The 13,066-nt window shown below is 47.3% G+C and overlaps 1 protein-coding gene across 5 annotated transcripts in view, besides 1 other annotated feature; it reads right to left on the bottom strand.

The window, feature by feature from the left end:
* The window catches only part of SPMIP11 (sperm microtubule inner protein 11), a 44,025-nt gene that overhangs the window by 5,283 nt on the left and 25,676 nt on the right, over positions 1-13,066 (bottom strand). For 4 of the 5 annotated variants that reach the window (NM_001351125.2, XM_024448926.2, XM_024448927.2 and 1 more), the window contains 3 exons: positions 6,846-6,968; positions 1,182-1,326; positions 387-570 (listed from right to left, as the gene is read on the bottom strand). In NM_001351125.2, the coding sequence (NP_001338054.1) occupies positions 522-570; positions 1,182-1,326; positions 6,846-6,968 (317 nt within the window). In that variant the 3' untranslated portion in view covers positions 387-521. Of the gene's footprint in view, positions 1-386; positions 571-1,181; positions 1,327-6,845; positions 6,969-13,066 lie in introns of those variants that run through there. The other variant, XR_002957306.2, reaches the window with a different exon arrangement.
* Positions 32-131: an enhancer, noted in NCBI's record as "active region_6288". NCBI's record gives its function as "activates an Ori minimal core promoter by ATAC-STARR-seq in GM12878 lymphoblastoid cells {active_cell/tissue: GM12878}" and the evidence as "EXISTENCE:reporter gene assay evidence [ECO:0000049][PMID:35858748]".

Below are 13,066 nucleotides of genomic sequence, written 5' to 3'. Positions count from 1 at the left end.
CTGTTCTGGGCCCTGGGTGGGTCAGAAGTGACAGAGCCTGGTGTAGGAGGCGACCTCCTGCCCCAGGGCTCCGTGGGCCTCTTGTCTGTGGTCAGAGGACTTCCTGTGGCTTTCTCCCTGCTAAGGAGAAGCTGCAGTATCTTCAGAGTGTGACTACTCAAGGCCTTTCAGCATCATGAGCTCCAGTGTGTGCCTTCCCAGATTTGTGTGTGACCCCTGCCATGCATGAAGCCGGCGGTTCTTTCCAGTGCCTTGGCCCCTCACAGACCTCTCACTCCAAGGTCTGGCTTATTCAGGAATCTCCCACACAGCAGCTCTCACAACAATCTGGACACTGGAATCACTCCCATCCTGACCCCACAGCTCCCCCCGTGCACACAAGCAACTTTTAGTCCAGTCTGTTTACTGTGCTTTCTCCATCTCCTCCTCCCATTAGTCAGCCATCGGAACTGGGAAACCTCCTTCTTTCCCCCTCTGCACTCTTGCCACAATTCATCTTGTCTTTCTGCAGCCATATCTTCTTAATACAGACTGAAGGTCCTGTCATTGAGAATAGAGTGATCCATAAACCTGGAAAGAAGAGATTCAGAGAGAGATTCAGCCAGGCCAGGCTGGAGAGCAGGAGATCCTTAAAAATAGCTCCCAAGAGGCTGGGCGCGGTGGCTCACGCCTGTAATCCCAGCACTTTGGGAGGCCCTGGCGGGTGGATCACAAGGTTAGGAGTTCAAGACCAGCCTGGCCAAGATGGTGAAACCTCGTCTCTACTAAAAATACAAAAATTAGCCGGTCACGGTGGCGGGTGCCTGTAATCCCAGCTACTCGGGAGCTAATGCAGGAGAATTGCTTGAACCTGGGTGGCAGAGGCTACTGCCAATGGATGGTGATTTGAGGGGTGGAGAGGTAGCGACGAAGGCAGCATTGGGCTGCCACAGGATTACTATGGACACTTGTTTTGCACTAGCTCAGAAGTCACACCCACAAAGAGGAACACAAAGACACAGACAAATCTCTAACTCCTTTGAATGTCATCACGGCCCAAATTCTGGGGCCAGTTTTCTCTGGTAAGACTCAAATCTCTCCTAATTCCCTAACTGACCGGAGATGAAATAATCTCTAAGAATTAAAGTGAAGGGAAGGAGTACTTCCCTTGACCTCCCCACCCTTACCCCTCCCAGCCTAACCTGGTCATCGCGCTTTTTATGAGACAATGGCGTGGGCTCCGGATCCATGGCATGGTTTCCTCTGGACGCACTCCTGGATCATGGGACCACCAGAAGCTGAAGTTCTGAGCATCAGTCAAGGGGATTCTGAAGACCTGATTGGGAACTGAATGGGTGGGGGGAAGGGCAGGTTATCTAATTCCTTCAAGTTCTCTGCTCACTGTTCTGCCTCAGGGCAGCAATAGCCCAGCCCAGCCCAGCAACTGCTTGGCCGGACCAGGTGCTGAGAGGTCCTGGGAGTGTGGTCACCACACCCTGCTTCACTTCCGGATTCTAGCATCTCACACCCTTCATGGTCAAATGAATCAGTCTTGGTTCTTCCTGCTGCTAGTAAGCCCATCTCCAAGAGAGCTTTCCCCAAGTGCTAAGATGGTAGAAAAACAAGTGGTCAACCCACTTGGGAAATGTGTAAGATGGGGTCCACTGATCTATTATTTTTCTTTCTTCTTGGCTTAATCATCCTCATTCTCTTCCCTCCTCTTGGAAAAAATGGCTTCCTTTGCTCACTCCAAGTAATTCTCTGAAACCTAACTAATACCACCTCACATTTAGATGCTATTAATAGATGTAATTTATCTAGTGCCTATTATGTTCTAAATGTGGTATTAAATATTCTTAAATTTTTGTAATAATATCAGACTTTGATGCTGTTTGAAAAAGTACTTTTGGGCTGGGCACGGTGGCTCACGCCTGTAATTCCAGCACTTTGGGAGGCCGAGGCAGGCAGATCACCTGAGGTCGGGAGTTCGAGACCAGCCTGACCAACATGGAGAAACCCCGTCTCTACTAAAAAAAAAAATACAAAAATTAGCCGGGCGTGGTGGTGCATGCCTGTAATCCCAGCTACTCAGGAGGCTGAGGCAGGAGAATCACTTGAACCCAGGAGGCAGAGGTTGCGGTGAGCCAAGATTGTGCCACTGCACTCCAGCTGGGGCAATAAGAGGGAAACTCCATCTCAAAAAAAAAAAAAAGTACTTTTGGCCGAGTGAGGTGGCTCATGCCTGTAATCCCGGCACTTTTAGAGGCCGAGGCAGGTGGATTACTTGAGGTCAGAAGTTTGAGACCAGCCTGGCCAACATGGTGAAACCCATCTCTACTAAAAATACAAAAATTAGCAGGGCATCGTGGGGGGTGCCTGTAATCGCAGCTACTCAGTAGGATGAGGCAGGAGAATTGCTTGAACCCGAGAGATGGAGGTTGCAGTGAGCTGAGATCGTGCCACTGCACTCCAGCCAGGGCGACAGAGCGAGACTGTCTCAAAAAAAAAAAAAAAAAGTACTTTTACTATTTATTTGGATAAGTCTAATTCTACCAGTATAAAATTTGTATATTTTTAAAACTTAGAATTATAGCCTAATATTCTGGATTGCTATATAGTGTTTATAATAATTTTTTTAAAATCCCTAATAATTCATTGAGTAGATGTTACATTTTTGGCTTATTTTTCTATTAATTAATAATAAGCTATTAAAAAGTTTTGCTATTAGAGGCTGGGTGCAGTGGCTCACACCTGTAATCCCAGCACTTTAAGAGGCAGATGGATCACTCCAGCCCAGGACTTCCAGAACCAGCCCAGGCAACATGTTGAAACCCCATTTCTACAAAAAATACAAAAATTAGCCCAGTGTGATGGTGCACGCCTGTAGTACCAGCTGCTCAGGAAGCTGAGGTGGGAAGGATCGTTTGAGCCTGGGAGGTTGTTGAGGCTGCAGTGAGCCATGATTGTGCCACTGCACTCCAGCCTGGGCAACAGAGCAAGATTCTGTCTCGAATAGATAAAAATGGAAAAATGTTAAAGTTTTGCTATTAGAAATAACTTACTACCCCTCTTTCCACATGTGCCTGTTTTGATTTCTGAAAGTATTTTAGGTTTTAAACTTTAATTTTGTTATAATTATAGGTTCACATACAGTTGTAATGAATAATACGGGGAAACCAGGTGCAGTGGCTCATGCCTGTAATCCCAGCACTTTGGGAGGATCACTTGAGCCCAGGAGTTCAAGACCAGCCTGGGCAACATAGCAAGACCCTGTCTCTATTAAAAACAAAAACAAAAACAGGGAAATCATGTGTACCTTTTACTCTTCCCCACAATGGTTACAGCTTACAAAACTATGGGACACTACCACAACATGATATTAATATATTGAATATATTGATACAGAACAGTTCCATCACCACCCATCCTGGAGCTGGCATTTTATAGCCACCCTCCCCCACTGCCCCGCTTTGGAAATCAGTGATCTGTTCTTCATTTCTGTAATCTTGTCATTTTAAGAATGTTATAAGAGCCGGATGCAGTGGCTCACGCCCGTAATTCCAGCACTTTGGGAGGCCGAGGCAGGTGGATCACCTGAGGTCAGGAGTTCAAGACCAGCCTGACCAATATGGTGAAACCTCGTCTCTACTAAAAATACAAAAATTAGCCAGGCATGGTGGCGGGTGCCTGTAATCCCAGCTACTTAGGAGGCTGAGACAGGAGAATCGCTTGAACCTGGGAGGCAGAGGTTGCAGTGAGCCGAGATCGCACCATTGCACTCCAGCCTGGGCGACAGAGCAAGATTCCGTCTCAAAAAAAAAAAAAAAAAAAAAAAAAAAAAGCTGGGCGGGGTGGCTCACGCCTGTAATCCCAGCACTTTGGGAGGCCGAGGTGGGCGGATCATGAGGTCAGGAGATCGAGACCATTCTAGCTAACACGGTGAAACCCTGTCTCTACTAAAAATACAAAAAATTAGCCGGGCATGGTGGCAGGCGCCTGTAGTCCCAGCTACTCGGGAGGCTGAGGCAGGAGAATGGCATGAACCCGGGAGGCAGAGCTTGTGGTGAGCCGAGATCGCGCCACTGCACTCCAGCCTGGGAGACAGAGTGAGAGAGACTCCGTCTCAAAAAAAAAAAAAAAAAAAAAAAAAGAATGTTATAAGAGTGTTATATAAGAATGTCATATAAGAGTATTATAAGGCCTGGCATGGTGGCTCACACCTGTAATTCCAGCACTTTGTGGGGCTGAGGCAGGAGGATCGCTGTGTGGGAGATAGCCAGACCTTGTCTCTATTAAAAAAAAAAAAAAAGAGCTGGGCATAGTGGCACATGCCTGTAGTCTCAGCTACTCAGGAGGCTGAGGTGGAAAGATCACTTGAGCCAGGAATTTGAGACTGTAGTGAGCTATAATTGCACCATTGTACTCAGCCTGGGCAACAGAGTGAGACCCTATCTAAAAAAAAAAAAAAAAAAAAAAAAGAATGTTATATAAATGGCATCATACGCTATGTGATGTTTATTTTTATTTGTATTTTTTATCAGCTTACATCATGCTTTGATGTCCTACATGCTTTTTTTTTTTTTTTAAAGACAGGGTCTTGCTCTGTTGCCCAGGCTGGAGTGCAGTAGCACTATCACAGCTCATGGCAGCCTTGACCTGCCAGGCTTAAGTGATTCTCCCACCTGAGCCTCCTGAATAGCTGGGACTGCAGGCGAGCACCACCATGCCCTGCGATTTTTTTTTTTTTTTTTTGGAGTCTCGCTGTGTCCCCCAGGCTGGAGTGCAATGGTGCCATCTCAGCTCACTGCAACCTCTGCCTCCTGGGTTCAAGCGATTCTCCTGCCTCAGCCTATCAAGTATCTGGGATTACAGGCGCCTGCCACTATGCCCGGCTAACATTTTTTTGTATTTTTAGTTGAGATGGGGTTTCGCCATGTTGGACAGGCTGGTCTCGAACTCCTGACCTCAAGTGATCCGCCCGCCTCGTCTTCCTAAAGTGCTGGGATTACAGGCATGAGCCACTGTGCCCAGGTGTATGTTTTATAGATGGGATTTCACCATGTTGCCCAGGCTGGCTACATGCTTTTTAAAATGTACATGTTCTCTCTTGACAATAGTGCTAAAAAGTATTATTCCCATTTCCAGATGGTTCAGAGAGGTTGTGGTTAAAGGAACTTGCCTAAAGTCACAGAATTCGTTTGCAGTTTAAACCCAGTTCAATAAAATGCCAAAGCTTGTGCTTACTATTCCTCAAAGGGATAATGCATGATAATATACAATATACTTTTTTCTCCCAATAATTTTGAAAGATTAGTAAAACAATAGCTCAGGCATTTTCTCTCCCCAACATCCTGCCTTTAAACCAATGAGGGGCCCTAAGTGGCGGCTCACGCCTGTAATCCCAGCACTTTGGGAGGCCGAGGGAGATGGATCACCTGAGATCAGGAGTTCGAGACCAGCCTGGCCAACATGGTGAAACCCTGTCTCTACTAAAAATACAAAAATTAGCCAGGGGTGGTGGTGCACTCCTGTAGTCCCACCTACTCAGGAGGCTGAGGCACAAGAATCACTTGAACAAGGGAGGCGGAGGTTGCAGTGGGCCAAGATCGTAGCACTGCACTACAGCCTGGGCGATAGAGTGAGAATCTGCCTCAAAACAACAATAACAAACAACAACAACAGCAAAACCAATGAGGGAGTAGGTTGATAAAGGGTAAATGGGCTGGGTGTGGTGGCTCACACCTGTAATCCCAGCACTGTGGGAGGCCGAGGTGGGAGGATCACTTGAGCCTGGGAGTTTGACACCAGCCTGGACAACATAGCATGACTCCCTCTCTACAAAAATGTTTTTAAAAAATTAGCCAGGCTTGGTGGTGCATGCCTGTAGTCCCAGCTACTCAGGAGACTGAGGCAAGAAGATCACTTGAGCCCAGGAGTTCGAGGCTGCAGTGAGCTATGATTGCAGCACTGCACTCCAGCCTGGGTGACAGAATGAGATCCTGTTTCCAAGAAAAGAAAAGAAAAGGTGAAACATCAAAAAAGAGGCAGAACTAGGACTCAAACATCTTCTGCTTCCAAGTCTAATTCAAATTTCATTTCATTGATGGGCATGGTGGCTCACGCCTGTAATCCCAGCACTTTGGGAGGCCCAAGTGGGTGGATCACCTGAGGTCAGGAGTTTGAGACCAACCTGGACAAACCAACCTCTACTAAAAATACAAAAATTAGCCAGGTATGGTGGCAGGCACCTGTAATCTCAGCTACTCAGGAGGCTGAGGCAAGAGAATCACTTGAACCTGGGAGGCAGAGGTTGCAGTGAGCTGAGATGGCCCCATTGCACTCCAGGCTGGGTGACAGAGCAAGACTCATCTCAAAAAAAAATTTTTTTTTTCATTTTATCATATCGTGCTTACCCCACCAAGTCTACTTTCTCCCTCTTCCTCTCAGTCTCTTCTCTTGGCTCTTTTTTTTTCTTCCTGCCTGATAACCATACCCAACCACATCCCAGCCATTCTTTTTTTTTTTTTTGAGACAAAGTGTCACTCTGTTGCCCAAGCTGGAGTGCAGTGGCACGATCTTGGCTCACGCAACCTCCAACTCCCGGCTTCAAGGCCTCTTGAGTAGCTGAGACTACAGGCATGCACCACCATGCCCGGCTAATTTTTGTATTTTTAGTAGAGATGGGGTTTCACTATGTTGGCCAGGCTGGTCTTGAACTCCTGACCTTGTGATCCGCCTGCCTCGGCCTCCCAAAGTGCTAGGATTACAGACATGAGCCACCAAGCCCGGCCTCATCCCAGCCATTCTTTAGGAACTCAGACATATCTTTTTTTCTCCTAGCATGATGCCCACCCCAAGGTACTTACACGTCTTCAACAACACCTTCCGGACAGCTTCGTGGTATCTTGTGTGGCTATTCTGGTGCACGGAATAATTCCCATCTTTTGAGATAATGGGGGGAAGCCTAGTAGGCTCTGGTTCCTTCTGGTCTGAAATTAGAGTAGACTCGTTCTGAGTACTTGGCAAATGACTATTTGATTCTCTGATTCCCTGGTCTCCATGCTAACCAGATGCATAGCAGGGATCTCTCCTAGCCACTCACATCCAATTTTCAGGACCTCAGGAATCCAATCACCATGGCTGTGACAGAGGGGAGGGAGAGAGAACACAGTGATCACAAGACCTCCCTTACCACTCTCTTGCTTCTCCCTGACTCCTGGATTTTAAGAGGCCAACTTCTGGAATCAGGATATTGGACACATACTTAGGGTTAGTCCAAGTGAAAAAGGCCCTTATCTGGGTAGACATTCCTTTCCTGGGATTGGCATATTTGCAGAACTTCAAATGGTCTAATAGTGGAAGTCATGTTTGAGCTAAGTCTTGGAGGAAAAGAAGGAGGTAGGTTACAGTAGAATCAGGAAGAGCATTTCAGACAGCAGAATGACAAGTGTTTAGAAGCATTAGAAAGGCATCAGAGAGCTATTTGATTTGGAGCCTCGAGTGCTGGGTGAAGAGGAGAAGGACAGGAGATGGGGCTGGTAAGGTGGTGTATTATAGTGGCTACCTAGCATTCATTATGTTTGGGAATCACTCCCTATGAAGCAAAACCTGTATCTCACAATAGAGGCTGAATAGACTAGTTCTTCCTTATCCAACCTCTCTTTCAGCAAGGATATGGACAAAGAATTTTGGCTAGGCCAATCAAACACATCCGTTTCAGATTTTGAATCAAAGAAGGTTGCAAGGAAGCAGTGGCCATATAAAGTTATCCGCTAGTGACGGGAGGTGGCAGCAGTGAAGCTGCATCCTGTTTCCAGCAGCAGTATTCAGGGCCCAGCATCCTTGGGGCCAGTAGTGTCCACCACAGCATTGAATGTAGTAGTGTCTGTGCCAGACCAGGTCTATGGCATGATTCTGAGCATTGCTTCTGGTTACTATCCACCATGTGTAGTTTTCCATTCCTACTGCAGCTTTTACGTGCTTCCCAACATTTTCTTATTTTCTTTTCTCTTTTTATTTATTTATGTATTTTAAGACGGTCTCCCTCTGCCACCCAGGCTGGAGTACAGTGGTGCAATCGTAGCTCACTGAAGCCTTGAACTTATGGGCTCAAGCGATCTTCCCTCCTCAGCGTCCCGAAGTGCCGGGACTACAGGTATGAGCCACTGCATCCAGCCCCACATATATATAGTTTTTCTTTTTTTAAGATGGAGTCTTGCTCTGTCACCCAGGCTGGAGTGCAGTGGCATGATCTTGGCTCACTGCAACATCTATCTGCCGGGTTCAAGCGATTCTCCTGCATCAGCCTGCCAAGTAGCTGGGATTACCAGCGTGTGCCACCATGCCCAGCTAATTTTCATATTTTTAGTAGAGATGGGGTTTCACCATGTTGGCCAGGCTGGTCTTGAATTCCTGGCCTCATGTGATCCTCCTGCCTCGGCCTCCCAAAGTGCTGGGATTACAGGCGTGAGCCACTGCACCTGGTCCCATATATATACATATATATATTTATTTTTTATTTTATTTTATTTTATTTTTATTTTTATTTTTTTGAGATAGAGTCTCACTCTGTCACCCAGGCTGCAGTGCAGTGGTGTGATCTTGGCTCACTGCAACATCTGCCTCCTGGGTTCAAGCGATTCTTCTGCCTTAGCCTCCCAAGTAGCTGGGACTACAGGCGCTCACCACCACGCCTGGCTCATTTTTGTATTTTTAGTAGAGACAGGATTTCACCATATTGGCCAGGCTGGTCTCCAACTCCTGACCTCATGATCCACCTGCCTCCGCCTCCCAAAGGGCTAGGATTACAGGGGTGAGGCACTGCGCCCAGCCAATATTTTTTTTAATACATTCATATTCTGCTTAAATAGGCTAGATTTGGCTTGCATCTCAGACTCCTGAGCAAGGGAGGATGAGTTTGAAAAAAATTTAATTTTTTTTTTAAGTCTTTCAGAAGAGCAAGACTTGGTGAGGGAGTGAGAAAAGGAAAGCTGTTTAGGGTGGCTTCAAGATTTCTGTCTCTTGGCTGTTCCATCCATTCTGTCACGCAAGCCAAAAAGGCGCTAGGCCCCTTTCCCTATCTCCTCCAGCCAGTCTCAAATGCAGAGTAAAATCCAGCTCTTGGCTGGGCACCGTGGCTCATGCCTGTAATTCCAGCACTTTGGGAGGCCGAGGAGGATGGATCACCTGAGGTCAGAAGTTTGAGACCAGCCTGGCCAACATGGTGAAACCCCATCTCTATAAAAAATACAAAAATTAGCCAGGAGTAGTGTTCACGCCTGTAATCCCAGCTACCAGGGTGGCTGAGGGAAGAGAATCGCTTGAATCCCGGAGGTGGAGGTTCCAGTGAGCCAAGATGACACCACTACACTCCAGCCTGGGAGACAAGAGTGAAACTCTGTCTCAAAAAAAAAAAAAAGAAAAAAAGAAAAAAAAATCCATCTCTGCATCTGACGTTTTCAGTGCCTCGATTCTGTATTCCTGGAGCAGAAGTCATCCCATTCCTCAAATTTTTATTTTTCATGATTATGGATGCTTGTCAGGAACTGGATCAGTTTACCATTCTCTTTGGAAATTGCCGAGGATTGCTGACTAATCTCTGGTGGAGTGCGGAGATGCCACTTCTATTCTGGAGTTCTTCCCCAGCTCCTGCTTTTTTCTTTTCTTCCTGGCTTGGCCTCACTCATTCATCATCTCTGTCCCTCATCTCTCTCGTTTGCCTTCCAATTAAATCTCTTTTAACATTTTCTATCTGAAATAATGGTACCACCAGAGTGGGGCACAGTTTGAATCCCCTCCCTGTACAGTTGAGGACTTGGAGAAGCAACAGTACTGAAGCCTTGGTTAGCATATAAAGTTCTGGAAGCCTGGACTGAACCATGGGGCTGATTTGTACTTCATCACAGGTTATAGCAACGAGGCCATTTCCTGGAAGCAATATTATTGAGCCGGTATTTGAATTTGGGCAAGGTAGGGGTGGTAGGATGTCCTTGGACAAATAGAAATAGACTGAGGAGGCCGGGCACGGTGGCTCATGCCTGTAATCCCAGCACTTTGGGAGGCCGAGGCAGGCGGATCACGAGGTCAGGAGATGGAGACCATCCTGGCTAACACAGTGAAACCCCGTCTCTACTAAAAATACAAAAAAAAAAAATTAGCCAGGTGTGGTGGCAGGGGCCTGTAGTCCCAGCTGCTTGGGAGGCTGAGGCAGGAGAATGGCGTGAACCCAGGAGGCCGAGCTTGCAGTGAGCTGAGATCACACCACTGCACTCCAGCCTGGGCAACAGAGCAAGACTCTGTCTCAAAAAAAAAAAAAAAAAAAAGAAAGAAACTGAGGAGAAAGAACAAGCATATTCCTAGTGGCCAGTCTAGACTGAGAATAGTTATTGGTCTGAGCTCAAGTGACAGTTAGGAAATCTGTCTGTTCCCGAGGCCTCAGGCTGATTGTCAAGGGTACAGGCAGATGATGTTCTCTATTATCTCAACATGTCCAAGTAGCATGGTCCCGGCTTCCCATATGAATGGTCAGTGTGTGCTTGGAGGTGTGCTGGACAGTGTCACTCACCTGGATGCCTTCCTATGGAATCAAGCACCAATTGGCATATACCTTGCATCCATTTTTGGCAAGCTGGGAGATATTCTTGATAACCCATAACTTCCCCAAGCTGCCAAGGTTTGGAAGGTACCTGGGGTGAAGGGCGAAGGGCTTGGAAAGAATCATGCCACAGCTACTGGGAAAGGGCATGTTCTGGGTAGAGGGACGCAATGAGCTCTTTATAACCAAACTCCACTGTGGTAAGGTAGATGAATCAATTATTCTGTCGGTAGGTGATACAACAGAGGTCCTTCATCCACCCAGTTAACGCCATGCTCTGCATGGTCTTTGTTGATAAGTAGATATGAAATACCCTAAATAGCTTCTAGAACTGGGCCACAAATTGGGGGTTGCCATAAAACCACCTTTAATGCTTTGAAGAGACTATGAAGGACATGTAGGGTCATATAAAAGTACTTGAGTGGATGTTCCATCCCTCCAAATTAATGGTGCAGATTTCTCAGTATTACAAGTTTCCCTGTGACTCGGGGGTGGTCACACAATCTTAGTTATTCACTACTTTGCCCATTGCCTCTGTTTGTTGCAACTGGGGCTGATTGGCCACAATGTTTTCAGGCTGAAGAATTTTTAGAAAGAGTCTACCTTTGTGCCTCCCAGAAATCTACCTTCTAGATTAGGGTATTTGCAGCCAGGCATGGTGGCTAATGCCTATAATCCCAGCACTTTGGGAGGCTGAGGTATGGTGGCACGAGCCTGTGGTCCCAGCTACTCGGGAGGCTGAAGTGGGAAGATCGCTGAAGTTCAGGAGGTTGAAGCTGCAGTGGGCTGTGATTGTGCCACTGCACTCCAGCCTGGGTGACAGAGCAAGACCCTGCCTCAAAAAACGAAAAACAGGCCAGGCGCGGTGGCTCACGCCTGTAATCCCAGCACTTTGGGAGGCCTAGTCGGGTGGATCACGAGGTCAGGAGATCGAGACCATCCTGGCTAATACAGTGAAACTCTGTCTCTACTAAAAATACAAAAAATTAGCCGGGCATGGTGGCGGGCACCTGTAGTCCCAGCTACTCGAGAGGCTGAGGCAGGAGAATGGCGTGAACCCGGGAGGTGGAGCTTGCAGTGAGCCGAGATCACACCACTGCACTCCAGCCTGGGTGACAGAGCGAGACTCCGTCTAAAAAAAAAAATGCCTCAGGCTGGGTGCAGTGGCCCAGGCCTGTAATCCCAGTACTTTGGGAGGCCAAGGCAGGAGAATCACTTGAGTTTAGGAGTTTTAGACCAGCCTGGGCAACAGAGTGAGACCTCATCTCACTCCTGGGCTCAAGTGATCCTCCTGCCTCAGCCTCCTGAGTAGTTGAGACTACAGGCATGTGCCACCATGCCTGGCTAATTAAAAAAATTTTTTTTTGTAGAGAAAGGGTCTTGCTATGTTGCCCAAGCTAGTCTAGAACTCCTGGGCTCAAATAATCTTCCTGCCTCGGCCTCACACAGTGGTTGGATTACAGGCATGAGCCATCACACTCTGCCCCAAGGTACATTTCTCTAACTTCAGAAGGTTTATCCGTTTGGAAAGGCAGAGGGGCTCAGTGGCTCTGGCCAATTCATTCTTGGTTGAATTGTGCCACTTATGCTCCTGTTTGAAAAGCCGGAGACAGTGGCTCATGCCTGTAATCCCAGCACTTTGGGAGGCTGAGGCGGGTGGATCACTTGAGGTCAGGAGTTCCAGACCAGCCTGGCCAACATGGCAAAACCCTGTCTCTACTAAAAATACAAAAATTAGCCGGGCATTGTGGCACACACCTGTAGTCCCAGCTACTCCGGAGGCTGAGGCAGGAGAATCACTTGAACCCGGGGGGGCAGAGGTTGCAGTGAGCCGATATTGCGCCACTGCACTCCAGCCTGGGCGACAGAGTGAGACTGTCTCCAAAAAAAGAAAAAAAAAAAAAAAAAAAAGAAAAAAAAAAGTAAAGAAAAGCCAGAACAACAGTGCCCTCTGCTGGAGTCTAAGAATGGGATCTCCAGCTGTCTCCTAACAGGTAGTTCACCAAAGAGGCAGCTCAGAGAGGCAAGGAGACTAGGAGATTGAGCAGAAGACATTCCAGCCAGGCTTGGGAAGACTACCTTTTGTGTCCTCTAACAGGATCCAGGAAATGAGAACGTAAGTAAGACGAGTTCAGCTTTCACCAGAAACTCAAGGTTGAGCCTTTCTTTAAAGAAATTCATTTGGAATTGGAAATGAGAGCAACTCTGAGGACTCATTAGTGAATTCCTCAGGGAAGGGAAATGATAAGGGCAGCAGTGGGATAAGCTGGAGTGAGGCCCTTTGGATGTGCACAGCTTGAAGGTCAGCATGTCTGTGGCTAGAGGGTAGTCACTGGAGAGTCTGGCAAGGAGAGGTCATTTGTCTCAATTGTCTCAAGACAAGAACAGGCATAATCTTTCCCTACCACCCAAATCTCGCAGAGATTTTCTCTGTGACTCCGGTCAATGAACAGTGTTCTGGGTGCCTGGACTTGTGTTATGGTGAGAGCTAGG

This window comes from Homo sapiens, chromosome 12 (assembly GCF_000001405.40).
Source record: "Homo sapiens chromosome 12, GRCh38.p14 Primary Assembly".
In the NCBI taxonomy this organism is placed as follows: domain Eukaryota; kingdom Metazoa; phylum Chordata; class Mammalia; order Primates; family Hominidae; genus Homo; species Homo sapiens.
The sequence above is the reverse complement of the archived record's forward strand: the minus strand, read 5'-3'. Positions and strand labels throughout refer to the sequence as shown.